The sequence below is a fragment of the Homo sapiens genome, chromosome 4 (genome assembly GCF_000001405.40).
Source record: "Homo sapiens chromosome 4, GRCh38.p14 Primary Assembly".
Classification (NCBI taxonomy): domain Eukaryota; kingdom Metazoa; phylum Chordata; class Mammalia; order Primates; family Hominidae; genus Homo; species Homo sapiens.
The window spans coordinates 75,786,591-75,805,755 of record NC_000004.12 but is presented as its reverse complement, the minus strand read 5'-3'; the positions used below and the strand labels follow the sequence as shown (position 1 = coordinate 75,805,755).

At 35.9% G+C, this 19,165-nt stretch overlaps 1 protein-coding gene across 4 annotated transcripts in view; it reads right to left on the bottom strand.

Annotated features, from left to right (window-relative positions):
- Positions 1 to 19,165, bottom strand: part of USO1 (USO1 vesicle transport factor) — an 89,710-nt gene that overhangs the window by 8,531 nt on the left and 62,014 nt on the right. For 2 of the 4 annotated variants that reach the window (NM_001290049.2, XM_006714396.5), the window contains 11 exons: positions 18,554 to 18,694; positions 15,518 to 15,606; positions 14,959 to 15,113; positions 11,855 to 12,066; positions 10,400 to 10,420; positions 6,024 to 6,134; positions 5,287 to 5,405; positions 4,957 to 5,138; positions 4,556 to 4,677; positions 1,484 to 1,622; positions 453 to 616 (listed from right to left, as the gene is read on the bottom strand). In NM_001290049.2, coding sequence (NP_001276978.1) covers positions 453 to 616; positions 1,484 to 1,622; positions 4,556 to 4,677; positions 4,957 to 5,138; positions 5,287 to 5,405; positions 6,024 to 6,134; positions 10,400 to 10,420; positions 11,855 to 12,066; positions 14,959 to 15,113; positions 15,518 to 15,606; positions 18,554 to 18,694 — 1,455 coding nt within the window. The remainder of the gene's footprint in view (positions 1 to 452; positions 617 to 1,483; positions 1,623 to 4,555; positions 4,678 to 4,956; positions 5,139 to 5,286; positions 5,406 to 6,023; positions 6,135 to 10,399; positions 10,421 to 11,854; positions 12,067 to 14,958; positions 15,114 to 15,517; positions 15,607 to 18,553; positions 18,695 to 19,165) is intronic. The other 2 variants (XM_006714397.4, NM_003715.4) reach the window with 1 other exon arrangement.

Genomic DNA, 19,165 nt, shown 5'->3' with positions numbered 1-19,165 from the left:
TTTGACTCTAAAGCTCATCCTGTAAAATCTTTTTTTTTTTTTTTTTAGATGGAAAGTCTCCCTCTGTCGCACAGGCAATGAGGTGAAGTGGGGTGATCTCGGCTCACTGCAACCTCTACCTCCTGGGTTTAAGAGATTCTCCTGCCTCAGCCTCCTGCGTAGCTGGGACTACAGGTGCCTGCCACCATGCCCGGCTAATTTTTGTATTTTTAGTAGAGACAGGGTTTCGCCATATTGGCCAGGCTAGTCTTGAACTCCTGACCTCAGGTGATCCGCCCACCTCAGCCTCCCAAAGTGCTAGGATTACAGGCGTAAGCCACTGTGCCTGGCCCATCCTGTAAAATCTTAACATATGATATTCTGGCTTAAGAGATCCAAGGAAAAAAAAAAAAGGCAGGATAATGAGAACCACTCTTGAACTCTTATTTTAACTTCTTAAACATTTACTTTACCATATTTTCAATCATAGAGTCCTTTTCAGTCAGCTGGCTTTGTAAAAGTTCCTGATTACGTTTTAATTCTTCTATCTCTTCTCGCAATCTACCAATTTCTTCTGGCTGAATGCCATTCATCTGAGCCCCCTCACTGTAAGAACCTTGATGCTGATTGTCTTTTCCTGTTAGACAGACATAACATTTTAAAAGCCAACGGGAAACTTCAGTTTTTCATTTTTGAAGTAGAAGATTCAAATATGTAATTTTCTTCATTCAATTACTTTGGCAGCACTTTTGCAATCACATTTCATCTTTGCAGAATGGTATACTGATAAAAATAGTGAACTGATAGTATTTTCCAGATTTCTGGGAGAAAAAACAGCACAGCCTTGACTAAACTGCATGGTCTGGTGATCTATGATTAAGAATTACAGTAATTTTAATTCCAATTCTGTCAACTGAATATGAGAAAATAAAATCCTTTTAAAAAATCTTCACAAGCACCGTAGGATAATACTATTTAAAAGCAGTGGAGCTCTTGCCATTTTCCAGGCACAACTTAAATTTTTCATTTATTATATCATTTAGTTCTCAAATGTTATTACTATCTTCATTTTGCAGAAGAGGAAACTGAAAGATTACAGCGGTCATTCTTAATCAGCTATACATTAGAATCACCTGGTGGGCTTATACTAGTTACTGATCCCTGGACCTAATCCCAGATTTATTAAATCAGAAACACTATTGTGGTATCAGCATTGGTATTTTTTTTTAAAAAAGCATCTCAGGAGATTCTAATATGCAGCCAGGGTTGAGAATCAATGGGCCAGATAAACAGGTAGCAAGAAGCTTGGACTTCAATCTCTAAAGGTCCAGTCTTAACTGCTCTTAACTATCATGCTATTTTGCTTTAAACTCCGATTTACATTTTTGTCACCATGATTAAGGTTAGAAAAATACTAGTCCACAGAAAGAATCTTTTACTTTGTCTAGCTCTTGAGGAAAGAATGACCTGAGTGCTATCATAGTGATGGCTTAGCTATGCTTACCTAGCTGTATTTTAAGAAGATTATACTGGTCTTTGTGCTGCTGGATCTGTGATACTTGCTGTGTGACTGCCGTCTGGAGCTGTTCATTTTGACATTTTAATGTAGAAACCTGCTGCCTTAATTCCTCAAGTTGGAGATCCTGTGAAACAAAACATAATTCATGTGTTTTAAAGTCATACTCGTTAGCATTAAGAAGGTGAACACATTTTAAAAATTAGAGGTCATTTTGGGACAGTATGCTAAAGTGCTTAACACTTCCAAAATCGTTCAGTAATTAAGCAACTTGGTGTGTTAATATATCCATCAAGGCCAATTAACATGCAGCAGAACTACAAGATTTCAAAGAAGGCTCCATTAATAAACATCATGGCATAGCCTGCAATTATAGTGGGAAATAAAATGAAAAAACTCCATTTTATGGTCATAAAACCATTTAAAAATTTACATCAAACTATTTAAGAAATTTAGTATATGTATGTATACATATGCTTCTATATTATTTTTAATATTAAAAGCCAATGAGAAAATAAATATAGGAAATTGAAAAAAGAGCTTCCAACTTTTACCATCATAATAAAACTATAGTTGGAATTTGATGTATTTTTTTTCTTTTTTTTTTTTTTGAGACGGAGTTTCGCTCTTATCGCCCAGGCTGGAGTGCAGTGGTGCAATCCAGCTCACTGCAACCTCTGCCTCCAAGGTTCAAGCAATTCTCCTGCGTCAGCCTCCTGAGTAGCTGGGATTACAGGCGCCCGCTGCCATGCCCAGCTAATGTTTTTGTATTTTTAGTAGAGATGGGGTTTCACCATGTTGGCCAGGCTGGTCTCAAACTCCTGACCTCAGGTGATCCACCGGTCTCAGCCTCCCAAAGTGCTGGGATTACAGGCGTGAGCCACCGTGCCCGGCCAGAATTTTATGTATTTCTTTATTTTCTTCTAATTTTTTCCCAATCCATGGTTTAAAATTTGTCACAATAGGTATATATATATAATTATGTAGCCTTTAATTTACTTAACATTCTATCATAATTTCCCCATATTGCTACATAGTTTTCAAACCATAATTTTTAATCCTATCTAATTAAGTAGATGCAATACAATTTATATTCAATGTTTTTGATGCTAAGGTTGCTTTCCATTTTTTTTCTTTTCTTTCTTTCTTTTTTTCTTGGGTTTTTTTTTTTTTGAGACAGAGTTTCGCTCTTGTTGCCCAGGCTGGAGTGCAATGGTGCGATCTCGGCTCACTGTAACCTCCGCCTCCCAGGTTGTTCAAGCGATTCTCCTACCTCATCCTCCTGAGTAGCTGGGATTATAGGCATGTGCCACCATCCCCAGCTAATTTTTTGTATTTTTAGTAGAGACAGGGTTTCTCCATGTTGGTCAGATTGGTCTCGAACTCCCGACCTCAGGTAATCTGCCCACCTTGGCCTCCCAAAGTGCTGGGATTACAGGCATGAGGCACCGTGCTCAGCCACTGCACTCCAGCCTGGGCAACAAGAGCGAAACTGTCTCAAAAAAAAAAAAAAAAAAAAAAAAAGAAAAGAAAAAGAAAAATGGAAAGCAACCTCAGCATCAAAAACACTGAATATAAATTGTATTGCATCTACTTAATATTGCTTTCCATTTTTCAAAGTGACAAATTTCATTACATTATATATTTTAGTCCATATAATTGTTTTCCTGAATTTTGGAGAATTCCCTTAGGATGAATTATCAAATGTCATTCAAAGGATATAAACATTTTATAGTTCTAGATGCTTGTGGACTAATGCCAAATAGCATTTTAAATGGTAAGAATATTTAAAATGAACATTTCTAAGGAAGTCATTAGAGTAATTGTGTCAATCACTCTTTTCTTTTGCCAAATCAACTGTATTTGCAGCCCCAAGTATAGACTCTATATCACATTACAACTATTTGTTTTTTTCACTGTTCCAAAGATATTATTACATTTTAGCAACTGGAAATGGCTCCATCTTTGTACCCAGATATAGATGAAAAATCCTAATAACCATAGGTAGTTTGATGATTCAAATTTTACCATTCTAAGATTATAATTTATTGATTGATTTACTTTTAAACTGAAAAGCTTAGAATGAATGCTAAATATACCACAATATTTTCATTCTTTCTTAAAATTTTAATCTCAGTAGGCTGGGCGCGCTGGCTTATGCCTATAATCCCAGCATTTCGGAAGGCTGAGGCAGGGAAGGGAAGGGATCACCCGAGGTCAGGAGATCAACACCAGCCAACATGGTGAAACCTCATCTCTACTAAAAATATAAAAATTAGGCAGCGTGGTGGCACACGCCTATAATCCCAGCTACTTGCGAGGCTGAGGCAAGAGAATTGCTTGAACCTGGGAGGCGGAGGTTGCAGTGAGCCGAGACTGCGCCACTGCACTCCAGCCTGGGAAACAAGAGCAAGACTCTGTCTAAACAAAAAACAAACTAATCTCAGTAATGTAGATTGTGAGGAAGAAAATAAGATATAAACAGTTGTCAATTTAAAGGGTTCTATCTATGCTTTTACTTGCCACACCTGCCATAAACTGTGCACAATTAGTAGACAGGTGTGGAGAGCAGTAGAGGGAAGGGGATGAATCTGTCCCACAGGGTCTGCCACTATTGTATTTTTTTATGACACTGGAATTTTAACAACATTAATAACCTCATTTTTCAGCACTTTCTAGAATTCCAATCAAGGTAAATATCATAAGAAATTAAATGAGAGTAAAAGTCAAGAAAACATTTTGAAGGAATATAATGAAGGTTTAGGGTACTCAACACAATGCAAGTAATGAAAGTTCACTGGTATCCTGGAAAGAAAATGTCAACTGATGATTCCGCAATTGTAGTTTCATCTTTATCCACTCATCATTATCTAATAAATCAGCTGCATGGTGCTTAGCACATATTAAGCACTCTGTTTGTTGAATACTCAGATGCTTTGAAAAATGATGGGTTTTGCTTTCTATATCCTCTTTCATTTGAAATGTCAGAAAAAAAGGCTCCCTTAAAGCAGAAAGTGCCTATTGGTAATCAGAGGGTATATACAGTTCATTAGTACTTACCTGCTCTCGAATCATATTTTTGTAGTGAGTCACAATATTGTCATGCTGTTCTAATGTTTTTTTCACCTCTTCTTCTTTTTTATCTTCTTCACTGGACTTATAAATAGCCTTAGTTATAACACCTATAAAAGGAAGCTTATTTAAAATTTGTTTTAAATGTTTTAAATACTATTTTACTACTAAGACTTAGTAAAAACATATAACCTAACTCCATGATAGGTAAGAAATAATCTTTTCAATCCTACTGAAAGCCAAATGTCCTTCAATGGGCTACAGATCAAGAGCTAGGAAGAAAATATACCTTTAGAGTTACCATATAACCTGTATGCATCCAGAATATACATGTACAATATAAATATAATTACTTTCCATCAAATATCAATATAAATCTTCAGTCTTACCTTCAAGTTCTTTTACCAGCTTCGTAAACTCATGATCAAATATCATGTATTCTGGACTGGGAAAGTTTGGCTGGGGTTTCTGAGATGCTCTGGAATACAACTCATGTTTGCTAATAAATCCTAGTTTCTCTATGAAATTCTCTTTGCCAATCCTCTTCTCAATCAGTTGTTTTAGCTTCTCTCTACGGAGATAAGCATATTGAGATGCTTTAAAAAAAATAAAATCAAAACAAAACATAAAAGCTTGGTCTACATAATGCTTTGGCAAAAAAAAAAAAAAAGCATCATTATCTCTTGATGCCATTAGAAAACCATCTTCCCCTTACTTACTTCATGTAGCTCTCAAGTGAGTTATCATTGAAATAAATCGAAATGCCCAACAAAAGGGCACATAAGCCTTGGACCAACTGCTCTTCTTCTCCAAGATTTTCTGCAATTTGTCCTGTAAGCTGAAATCTTTGTTAAGGAGGCTAAGGATTGAAAATATCTAGTACATTTTGCAATTTGAATTTGACATACATTAATACTTCACATAAGAGTTCCCATAAGAAATTCCATATATAGGCTAGGTGTGGTGGCTCATGCCTGTAATCTCAGCACTTTGGGAGGCCAAGGTGGGTGGATCACCTGAGGTCAGGAGTTTGAGACCAGCCTGGCCAACATGTCTCTACTAAAAATACAAAATTAGCCGGGTTGTGGTTGCGCACACCTGTAATCCTAGCTACTCAGGAGGCTGAGTGAGGCAGGAGAATTGCTTGAACCTGGGAGGCGGAAGTTGCAGTGAGCCGAGATCGCGCCACTACACTCCAGCCTGGGCGACAGAGCAAGACTTCATTTCAAAAAAAAAAAAAAGAAATTTCATATATATATTCCAACCCGGCATAAAACAAACCACACACACACAACTTAAACAAGCATCATAACAACTTTAACAGTTTAAAAAGTTGCAACACAGATAAGATAGTGGAGAATTCAAATATTTTGGGCATAGAACTACTTCTAATTGAGGAGAAAAACTAAAAAAGATATAAATACTTACATGTACGTTACTAAAACATAAAGGATACAAATGGAACATTGGCTGAATTGTGAAGAAAATGCGTTACTGCAATGGGACAATTGCTTAGCCAGGTACAAAGCAACATTAATAATCCAACTCTTGTTTGTATTTTGCTTCCCTGCAACAGATAAATTGGTAGAAATCTTTCCATTCATTTTATATTTTTCAAACTTAAAGTTGCCCTAAGATCCCTTCCATTTGCATGAAAAGAACTTTAACATCTTACAAGAGATGAGCCAGAAATCCAGTTTTAAAAAACTAAACAAGAGAATAAATTATTGTATGCACCACAGGCTGCACTTCCTAAAATGAACAGAGTGCAGAAATTAGAACTGATTCATGTTCAGAGGCATATACTGGGTTATTTAAAATATGATTAGTTTAAAAACCTTGTCTGCTAAGGAAAAAAATCAGTGTGGAGGCTTTAAAATAATCTATTAATCCCAAGACCCTTTACAATAAATTTGCCAAGCAAATTTATGATATTTCAGTCACAAGTTTAAAAACAAGTTCCTGATAAAAGGAAAATTCTACTTCCTTCAAAAAAAACCAAAAAACAAAAAAATCAAGAAAAATGCAAAAAATAATCCCCTGAATCATTTAGTCAAATTCCATGAGAGAATATATTCTCTAACAATAAATAAACCATACTACAAATTCAGTCATCACACACCAGATGAGAAATCACAAACATAATCAAGAGGAAGATTTAAATTAGCCAAGTGCCCCCAAACCATTAACAGCTGCCAAGTATAGTTAATAATGAAAATTAGCATATCCAGCAAAATTAGTTTTCAAAATTTTAATACAACACATTTACATCTCCTAGGTAGAATATTCTCTTAGTTCACAATATTGACAGTGCCCATATTTATATTCCTATAACCTGTATCTTTTTTTAAAAAAACAAAACAAAACTTGTTTGAAATAAAATAATGAAAATCAGAATAGTAATGCATCACTTTGGGGAAAGTCTCATAAAATGTCCGAAATATAATTCAAAGATCTAGACAAGGAATGAATTTAAAGTAATCATCACTGTGTTCCGAAAAATTTCTACCACCCAGACTATTCTAATTTCACAAACCTTGATGCCAATATCTTGACTCTTCTATAATCTATTTTTAGGTATATTTAATATTGAATTAAGTTCAAACAGGACCTCTTCAAATGATTTGCCAGGTAAGCACTGATACAAATTTAGTTTTTACATGATGCATTATTTTTACTGTTTCCTTGCCTCTACGTCATTACCATGCCCACAATATATCTTCAAGTCATCCATGTAAATTGGAAAGTTAAAAACCAGTCACTGCCAACTGACTATGTGCCACAGAAAACTTACAACTACTCGAGTTACAAATGCAAATGTTTTGTTCATCTACCTGGTTATATATAAGTTCATTATTACTTAGCATAACCATTTGCAGGTACCAAATATACCCACAATGTATATATAAGAACATCCTATCAAATCACTGGCTGATGTATGAGTAAAAAAAAACAGAGTAAGATTTAAATCAGAATCTTCTAAAAGCATGGCTTTTGGGGTCTAATTGAAGGATAAGAAGAGCAAAGTCAAATATAACCAGTTAAAAGACAGAATGAAACACTCCATTTATTACAGAGACAAAAAAAGATAAAGTACTCAGGAGTGAACCTAATCAAAATGGTATAAAATCTAAACAAGGAAAATTTTAAAACACTCCTAAAGAGCACAAAAGTGGACATAAACCAATAGAAAGCCACCATGTTCTTAGATAGGAGACTCAACATCACAAAGGTGTTAATTCTAAGTTAATTTATAAAATTAATGTGCCTGTAATCCCAGCACTTTGGGAGGCTGAGGTGCGTTGGATCACCTGAGGTCCAGAGTTCGAGACCAGCCTGACGAACATGGTGAAACACTGTCTCTACTAAAAATACAAAAATTAGCCAGGCGAGGTGGCGCGCGCCTGTAGTCCCAGCTACTCAGGAGGCTGAGGCAGGCGAATCACTTGAATCTGGGAGGTAGAGGTTGCAGTGAGCCGAGATCACAACACTGCGCTCCAGTCTGGGTGACAGAGTGAGACTCCATTTCAAAAAAAATAATAATTGTAAAATAAATTAAAAATAAATAAATGAATAAAATTAATGTGATTCAAATAAAAATTACTAAAAGGCTTTTTTTTTTTTTTTTGCTTCTGGAACAAAACAACATGATTCTGAAGATCATATGAAAAAAGTGAGATTAACTAGGGACACTGTAAAAAAAAAGAAAAAAGAGAGAATAATGGATCACGAACAAGCAGGAATCAAGAGACAGAATACAAAAATCCAGAAAAATGGGCCCATATACAAATGAGAATTTAATATATGAAAAAGTAGCATACAACTATCAGTGAGTTACAAATAGACTTAAAAGATTTTGGGACAACTGGAGAGCTATCTAGAAAAAGATCAGTGGATCTGTATCTCATACAGTTCGCTGAGAAAAACAGAACAAAGAATTAAATGAAAAAAAAAGAAACCAGAAAGTATAAGATAAACATTGAAGTATAATTCCTTATAAAGTCTTTTTTGGGGGGATTGGAGACCAGGTCTCGCTCTGTCTATCAGGCTGGAGTGCAGCAATCATAGCTCACTGCAGCCTTGAACTCCAAAGCTCAAGCGATGCCCCCACCTCAGCTTCCAAAGTGTTAACATATAGGTGTGAGCTACCATGCCTGGCCTAGTAAATTCCTTAAAATCTGAACATGGAAAGGCCTTTTCTAAGTATGACTTAAAATGCAGAAGCCATAAAAGATAAGTCTGAGAAAAAAAAAAATCCATAACAAAACACCAAGGTCAAAAGACAAATGACATACCAGAAAAAAAAAAAAAAATCTGTAACTCATATTAAAAACAAGGGTTAAGTATGTTAATATAAAATGGGCAGAGGATATAAATAAAAGGAAAAGTACACACCTCTTTTCAGAGCCCCTAGAGTGTGTGAACCATTGAGGAGATTTGAGAAAACAAATGGAGGCTAAAACTGTAATTTGAGAGCATTCTCGGGGGTAATTATAAACCACAGATTTTACACGATAAAAGAGAACTACAAACAAAATATTTGAAGCTGCGGGCTGGGCGCGGTGTCTCACACCTGTAATCCCAGCACTTTGGGAGGCCAGGTGGGTGGATCACCTGCGATCATCAGGAGTTCGAGACCAGCCTGGCCAACATGATGAAACCCTGTCTCTACTAAAAATACAAAAATTCGCTGGGTGTGGTGGTGCGCACCTGTAATCCCAGCTACTCAGGAGGCTGAGGCAGGAGAATCGCTTGAACCCAGAAGGCAGAGGTTGCGGTGAGCCAAGATCGTGCCATTGCACTCCAGTCTGGGCAACGGAGTGAGACTCCGTCTCAAAAAAAAAAAAGAGCATGATGGAACTTTCTGGGATTATGAAAACGTTCTACATCTAGTTTTGGGTGGTGGTTACAGAGATACACTCAAACACCAAAAATCATCACATGAAACACAGAAGGTCTGTGCATTTTATTGTATATAAATTAATACCTCAAAAAAAATTCCCTTTCAAATGACTGACATGTATACTTATAAAATACTTTCCCTAATATAAAATTCTGCAGGCTAAAGCTGCAAAATATGTATGTGTGTGTGTAAGTTAATGACACATGTTAAATCATGCTCATACACAAAGATACAATTCATAACAGGACCTCATTTATTACTACCCACATTATTCAACTGAAACCCATGCCCAAACATAGATATTAAGGTACACTCCTTTTCTGCCAAATACTCACACAAAACAAAACAAAACAAAACAAAACAAAACAAAAATAGCACTTTCCCCACACACAACAAAAACGAATCCTCAGTGGTAGCTGTAGCATATGGATTATATTCAGAATAATCCATAATATTTCATTTAAAATATTTCAAATTATAAAATTATACTTACTATTGCACATTTTAAATAATCTAGTATAAAAATCATCATCAGATTCTTTCATATGCTGATTAATTAAAGACAAAATTCTTAATCCTGAATTCTACTTCCTTTGAAATGGCTTCAGAGGAAATAAATAGGCAAGCTTGGAGAAAAAACACAAAAAACCGAAACCAAGGAAATCCAGAAAGTGCAAGCATCCCCAGAAGAAGCACAAGTATAGATTCAGATTCTCATTCCCACAGTGTTTAGTAACACCAATACAATATCCCATGGAGAAAAACTGGAGAGCCATTTACAATAGAAATAAATTGGCTGACACGCAAAAGTGTGAGTAGAATGTAACTTCAAACAAGCAGTTAAAAAAAAACCAATCAGCAAAACCCAAGACAGAGAAAAAGCTTTGCTATAAGAGGAAAATGCCTAAGCTTAATCAAGTGATACATACCCGTCTGTCGATCTTATCACCCTGCAAATTATACATTACAAATTATTCATACATATTACTACTTTAGAAAAGTCTAAATCTGGAAAAATCCCTCAAATACTTTTTCATAGTCTCTCTACAAACTCAAGCCAATAATTTGGGACAGGATGGTTCTAATGATACTTCTTTTATACAATAAAAAGTTAGAGGATACATTTAGAGGCTATATATTTTAGAAGATAAAGGATAATTTTATAGCACTGTGATTACTTAAGAGTGGGGAAGACACCACCATCTTTAGCACTTCTCATCAGGCATTCATTGTAATTTCAATGTTAAAGTGAAGTCTGTGGTGATGGTGATGAGAGAGATAATTACTGTTTGGCTTTAAAATAAAACTGTTGTTAACAGATAGCAACATGAGAATGCCAAGTAATAAGTAAAGACATAAAAATTTGGGATAGTTTTTTTAATCTCTAAGAGATAAGTGATAAAGACAAAATAAGCTTTCAATTAAAGTAAACCAATTTTAAACTTCAACTTCCTTTTCACTATAGTTACTTTTTAAGCTTTCATTTATAATTTCTATGGATGGAGCTAATGTTTCTTTAAAAGCTCAAAATAAGGAAAAATTCAACGAGTGTGGCAGGATTAAAACTAAAGAAGGACACAACCACATTATTATGGGGAGTGGGTAGGATAACTACTGCTAGAGCAGTGTACAGAACAATTTTAGATTTAGTCACATTTTTACTTTCCCTGAGTGACTCTAAACGTCAATGACTTTAGAGTTTTGCTAAAGCATGAACTTGAACTGTTCAATAGCAAGGCTGGTACATGTGGGGAAATCACATAACAAAAAGTGACATTCCTAAATGCCTAGCAACTACACTTCAATAAAGCTTTGTTGTTCTCATTAGGAGTCTAAGACATGCAAAAATTTTTTGTTATGTTTTCCTCCATCTTACTAGGTAAATTATATGCACCGGGGACTTAAGGATTGAAGAACTCACAAACTTCAAGGGGATATACTGTATAACTATATATACAAGGGACCACTGTTCCATTGTTTCTAGATGATCAATTGCTTTGGGAAGAGAAAGAGGGAAATACACAGCTATGAACTACTTTACTCCCTCCCATAAACTAACCTGAATTCAGTTACTGAGAAGAAAGAGAAAAATGACATGCAAGAACACTGTGGATAATTTAAAAACAAGACAAAACCCTCAAAATACCTTTCTGCCCAGAACATGTATTTTCATCATGATGCAGACCTTATAACTATTTAGCAAAACTATTCCTCTAAGAGTATTTATTGCTTTTTCTCCACAAAACTGTTTCTGATTATGATGAACTAATAAACAGAATAAGTCTTCTCTGTCCTTTTTCATCTGCATCTTCTAAAGACATCCTTAAATCCTGTATCACTGACATCAAAATGTATAGAACTTTTTCCCTTATGCAAAACTTTACCTGTGAAAGAATATTGGTGCACTGTTGAAGTAAAGAAACTGGAGGGTTGCCAATACTTGTAGCAAGTTGAACCCTGAGCAACTGTTCTTTCTGGGTGGCATTTTCTTGCAACGCATGGGCAAGGGCCACAGCAGCACACCAGTTTGAAAGTGAATCAGTAGAAAACAAACCTCCACATAATAACTGGCCAGCTGAAACTGAATTACCTGTTGCTACAAAGATGGCAGGCAGACAATAAAAATATATTAGATTTTGACGTAAACCAAATTTTAAATAAATTGTTTTCTGTACACATAAAATAGTGTGAAATACCATTAAATATAATCATTAAACATGTATTAATGAGTAGTATTAAATATACTTTCAAAATGATAAAAGTCTGCTTTTCAAAGCAAAATGAACAATGAGAGAAAGTTATCTTGGAAGAAAAGTAATAGAACAAAGAAATACAGGTGGAGGCTGGGCATGGTGGCTCACGCCTGTAATTCTCGCACTTTGGAAGGCTGAGGTGGGAGGATCCCTTGAGGCCAGGAGTTGGTGGTGCATGCCTGCAGTCCCAGCTACTCGGGAGGCTAAGGCCTGAGGATCACTTGAGCCCAGGAGTTTGAGGCTGCAGTGAGCTATGGACTGCGCCACTGCACTCCAACCTGGACAAGAGTGATACCTTATCTTCAAAAAAAAAAAAAAAAAAAAAAAGGAGAGAGAGAAAAGAAACATAGGTTGAGTATCCCTTATCCAAAATGCTTGGGACCAGAAGTATTTCAGAAAGAAAATGTGGTATATACACACAATGGAGTACTATTCAGCCATACAAAACAATGAGATCTAGTCATTTACAACAACACAGATGAACCTGGAGATCATTATATTAAGTGAAATAAGCCAGGTATGTAAAGACTAACATTTGTTCTCACTTACTTGTGAGAACAAATAAAAATCAGAACTAAATTATTTATCATCAATGGTAGAAGGTAAAATTTATTTGCCTTTATTTGTGGGATCTAAAAATTTGTGGGAATTCATGGACACAGAGATTAGAAAGGTGGTTATCAGAGGCAGGGCAGGGTAGTGGGAAGTTAGAGGGAAGATGGGGATAATGAGTACAAAAATATTGTTAGAAAGAATGAATAAGATATACCATTTGATTGCACAACAGGGTGACTATAATAAAAAATAAGTGTATATTTTATTTTTTGTTTTTTTTTGGAGACAGGGTCTCACTGTTTGCCCAGACTGGAGTGCAGTGGTGCAATTTCAGTTCACTGCAGCCTCGACCTCCCAGGCTCAGGTGATTCTCGCACCTCAGCCTCCCATGTAGCTAGGACTACCGGTGTGTGCCACCATGCCTGGCTAGTATTTTTTTTGAGATAGAGTCTCACTCTTGTTGCCCAGGCTGGAGTGCAATGGCGTGATCTCAGTTCACTGCAACCTCCGCCTCCCAAGTTCAAGCGATTCTCCTGCCTCAGTCTCCCCCATAGCTGGGATTACAGGCATGCATCACCATGCCCGGATAATTTTTGTATTTTTAATAGAGATGGGTTTTCACCATGTTCGCCAGGCTGGTCTTGAACTCCTACCTTCAGGTGATCCACCCGCCTTGGCCTCCCAAAGTGCTGGGATTACAGGAGTGAGCCACCAAGCCCAGCCTAAATTTTTGTATTTTTAGTAGAGATGGGGTTTCACTATGTTGCCCAAGCTGTTCTTGAACTCCTATACTCAAGCAATATACCTGCCTTGGCCTCCCAAAATGCTGGAATTGCAGGTGTAAGCCACCACGCCTGGCTTAAGTATACATTTCAAAATTACTTAATGAGTACAATTAGATTATTTGAAACACAAAGGCTAAATGTTTGAAGGAATGTTAAAAAAAAAAAAAAAAGAAGCATTTCAGATTTCAGATTTGGGATGCTCAACTTGTATTACAGTATTTTCGGCATTAAACTGATGATGGTAACATTCCAAAAAATTACCTTAATTAAAAACAACATTTCTAAAACAAACTTAAGGAAATGCCACATTTTGATCATTCTACTACATCAGGGTCTTATTTTCATTAATGATCAATAATTTTTTATGGTAATTTTTTACCAAATTTTTTTTTGGTAAATATAATTAAACAGACTTAAATTCTAACAAAAAACCTCAATGTATGTAATTAAAATGAGTTTTATTGATGTTTCCAATTACCTTTATGAAACTGCTCTTGAAGTTTAAAAGTTAACAAAGGTAAACATTTAAAAAATTTATCTTAGGTAAGATGAAATATTTAAAGACCCCATAAAAAGGGTAATGACTCTAACCTATACTAGAACAACAGACTGAAAGTTAAATGTGATTTAATGGTAAAATTCATCTTCTTTTTCTTAATTTTTATTTTTGAGGCACAGTCTCTCTCTGTTGCCCAGGCTGGAGTGCAGTGGCACAATCTCAGCTCACTGCAACCTCTGCCTCCAGGATTTGAGCGATTCTCCTGCCTCAGCCTCCTGAGTAGCTGGGATTAAAGGCACCTGCCACCACGCCCAGCTAATTTTTGTATTTTTAGTAGAGACGGGGTTTCACCATGTTGGCTAGGCTGGTCTCGAACTCCTGGTCTTAGGTTATCTGCCCGCCTTGGCCTCCCAAAATGTTGGGATTACGGGCGTGAGCCACCGCACCTGGCAAAATTCATCTTTAGAATGACAATTATAATTAACAGTAGATTCTGTTTACTGGCATCTATACATGCTAAGTTTTGGCGTGAGTACTTTATGTAATGTAATGCATGTAACTGCATTAATCCTCACAATGTTCCTAATGGGGTATTAACCCCACATAGAGATGAGTATTATTATCCCCCATAACTCAGTGAGGCTCAAGTTAAAAAGTTATACGGCAGAAGTTATACAGCAAAAGTGAAAATTCTGCAATGCAAACTCTGGTCTGACTCCAAAGCCTGTTGTCTAAATTTACCTGCAGGCCTTAGAATTCAGGTGTTTTTGTTTTTTTTTTTTCTCTCCTAAGCATGCAAAGTATTTTAGGCTAAAGCATAAAAAGAAAGAATCAATTAAAAGCTTGGAAGACAATGATTTACTTTTTCAAATAAAAATTAGAACTAAATTATTTACCATCAATGGTAGAAGGTAAAAGTGTTGACACGATTTCTCCTTGTCCTTTTTGGTTTTTATACAAGAAACACTGGAAACAATAGAGAACAGCACAGCGCAAAACAAATGGCTGCCTTTCATTAACCATGGACATGAGAAGTACTACAATTGCCGGTCTGTTGCATTTAAAAAGAAAAGAACAAAATGAAACATTGCAACCCAAGTATACAAGTCAATAACTAGTCATTTTTGTTGATTGAAGAATCATAACCAGAACACCAGCAAGTTAAGTATTTCCATCTCTATTTCACAGAAAACTGTAACTGACAGAAGTGAAGTGACTGCTTGCTTAAGGCATACAGCTAGGATGTGGACGACATGATATCTGAATCTAAGTATCTAAATTCCAAAGACTACCAACTCTTTTAAAATATCAATATCATTTATCTTGTCAGATAATTTCTAGTTCCAAAACATACAACTAAACTTCTTTAAAAAGAGTAAGATGTGTATATGAGATACATTAACAACCCAAAGTTTTTACTTCCTCAGAGTAATCTCAGTATTTCCCTTTTTCTACCTTGGTGGGTTTGAAGGTGCATTTACAGATGCAAAGTAGTCTTGGTTTACTTGGCAGCCTCGAATAACTTCTGATACAGTATTTATGGTCTGTTAAGGGGAAGAAAGAAAAAGAACATTTAGAGAAATTAAGTCAAGAAGGAAAATATGTTTTCAATAGAAAAAAAATCTTTTTTTTTTGTTTTTTTTTTTATTATACTTTAAGTTTTAGGGTACATGTGCACATTGTGCAGGTTAGTTACATATGTATACATGAAAAAAAATCTTATATCCCACTTTTTAAGTGCCAAAATTCAGGCACAAAAACATCAATGATAACATTATAATCTTGTAACACTTCCTCAAGGGAAAATTTTAAAGCATTAAGCATGGGTCTCCAATAAAATAACACTTGACAGGCATTTTAAATCTCAAAAACTATACTATTCTCTATGAGATAAAATATTTTATAAAAACAGAAAAAGGTTTTAAAATAATAATCAAAGAACAAATTTAAAGAGTTAAAAAATTCAATTTAAGGATAAAGTTAAAAAATAAAAAGACTATTTCAAAACATGTTATACAAGATAAATATATACCATTTTTGTTAATTAAAAATTAATTTTTAAAAAGACAAATTACCCAGAAAGTCTACTAATGGAATTGCAGAAAGAGAACAGAAAAGAGGCCAGGCGTGGTGACTCATGCTTGTAATCCCAGCACTTTGGGAGGCCCAGGTGGGTGGAACACTTGGGGTCAGGAGTTTGAGACCAGCCTGACCAACATGGTGAAACCCTGTCTCTACTACAAATACAAAATTAGCTGGGTAAGGTGGTGTGCCTATAATCCCCATTACTTGTGAGGCTAAGGCAGGAGAATTGCTTGAACCCAGAAGGTGGAGGTTGAAGTAAGCCGAAATAGTGCCACTGCACTCCAGCCTGGGAAATAGAGCAAGACTGCCTCAAAACAACAACAACAGCAACACAAAACAGAAAAGAGAAAATTATCAGGCAATGCCAAAAACATCCTCAGAACTGAAGGATGTATATTTCCAGCTGAAAGTGCTCAGTGAATGATGATAATAACTGGGGAGCAAGGGAGTGGGGAAAAGGTCCACAGTTCAGCACATCATCAGTAAATTTCAGAAAATCAAAAATAACAGATCTCAAAAGTTTCTAGAGAGAAAAAGATTACAATAAAAAAAAAAGGAGGATTATAATGGCTTCAAACTTCAAACTTCCTAATAGCAACACTGGAATGATGTTTGGAAAGTTGAGTATTAGTGATTTCCAACCCTGAATTCCATATCTAGCCAAACATTAAATTAATTCTGAAAGTAGAGAAATGACATTTTCAGACATGAAAGAGCAAAAAATAAAAAAATTTCTCGTTACTTATTCTTTTTTTTAGAAAATTAAGACAAATAACGGCCGGGTGCAGTGGCTCACGCCTGTAATCCTAGCACTTCACGAGGCTGAGGTGGGCGGATCACTTGAGGTCAAGAGCCTGGCCAATGTGGTGGAACCCCGTCTCTACTAAAAATACAAAAAATTAGCTGGGCATGGTGGCAGTCGCCTGTAATCCCAGCTACTCTGGAGGCTGAGGCAGAAGAATTGCTCAAACCCAGGAAGCGGAGGTTGCAGTGAGCCGAGATCATGCCATTGCACTCCAGCCTGGGCAACAAGAGCGAAACTCCATCTCAAAAAAAAAAAAGAAAAGAAAAGAAAAGAAAAGAAAATTAAGAAAAATAAAGTTAATGAACCAAGGGATAGAGGAAAAAGATATGTGATCCAGGCCAGGAGCATTGGCTCCTGTCTGTAATTCCAACATTTCGGGAGGCCAAGATGGGTGGATCATTTGAGGTCAGGAGTTCGAGACCAGCTTGGCCAACATGGTGAGACCCTGTCTCTACTAAAATTACAAAAATTAGCCGGGCATGGTGGCGGGTGCCTGTAATCCCAGCTACTCAGGAGGCTGAGGTAGGAGAATTGCTCGAACCCGGAAGGCGGGGGTTGCAGTGAGCTGAGATCATGCCACTGTACTACAGCCTGGGCAACAGACTGAGACTCTGTACAAAAAAAAAAAAAAATAAATAAATAAATAAATAAAGATATAGGATCCAGATAATCAAGGAAGCCAAGTCAGGAGACAAGTAAAGGAAATCCTAGGAAGATGGCAAAAAAAATTCCCAGGACAAGAGACATGGGGAAGAATTAGAGCACAGATTGGAGTAGGAGAATGGAGGGTCTGCAGGTGGCCTGTGGTGGGAAACAAAGTGTTAAGTATATGATTATTAAGCATATATACCTATGCATATATAGAGTAACAGTAAAATGAAGAACACAATTACAACTCATGGATGAGAAAAATATATATTTAAAAAAGGATATAGGACTCTATTTGGCTTAGCAGGAATGGTATCAATACAGCTGTAAAAATATAAACCCCAACTACTGATTTAAATATAAATTCCATAAAATAATTATGAGGTGACATGAGGAAGTAAAGTGGGACTTACAGTAAGGACAATTGAGGCTGAAGGCAGTTATTTTTGTTATAAAATTTTTATTATTTGTACTTTCGATATTGCACGTGTTAATTTGAGAAAAATTTTAAAAATATAAACAAACTTTTTTTCTTCAAACTAACTTCTTTTTCTTATAGGTAAGCAACAGAGAATGCCACACATTAGGGGAAAAGAATTTACTATTCAATGAATCTGCCGGTTGAGTAAGACTAAGTCACTTTGTTCTCAAAATAAAAACGAAATCATACTGTGCACTCCTGTTGAATATAACAAAATTAATGAGAAATCTTTGTAGATGGATCTGCAAAGCTTTAACATTATTATTTATGTACTATAAAACTTGAGGGATGAGTATATCTTTTGGAATCAATACTTTTATCATTATGTGAATTATATTTTAGTAAGATCATTAAAAATTTTAACCTAAAAAATGGTTAACTATTGTAGTTTTTCCTTCAACAAATATCTAATTCTTCCTAGGATTCAGGATTTCAACTTCCACAGAGTTGGCTTTGACTTCATTTGCTTTACCTCAGTCAGGATATCAGCAGGAACCCCAGTAGCCATTAGGATAGTACAAAGCTGCTGCAATAACCCACACTGGAACATAGCCTTCTGGCAGCTACTGGTAGCACCAGGAGGGTTGGTGGGAGATACCAATACACGAACAAGCTGTGAAAGAAAGAGAAAACAAAATTTGTCTTTTAAAGATTTGAAAAGGCTTGAGGCAAATCTGATCTATGTGAACAAGAAAGTCTGCATGAAGTACTCCCTTAGCTGCTTAGCTACATTTAGGTGCTCTTTCTTTCGTGCTCCCATGGCAATAAGTTCTGTGATAGTAATATTACATTATGCCTCTTAAACTTAAGGTTGTCTTCTTCAGGTGACTGTGAACTCCCAGAGAGAAACTGCCTTGGTCATTTTTGTTTCCCAAAGAAGCATAGTACTTGTAACAGTACATATTTAATAAGTAAATGAATGAATAAGTTACAGAGTGGCAGATTTCTTTTCAAAGTTAATAATGAACTACCTAGTAAGAGAGCAGGTCTGAAAACAGAATGACCTGATGTGTGATAAATCTCCCCTAAACTGGAAATATTTAAAGAGAGGCTAAAACCAAAACTGGAGAGATGGTAAAAGATT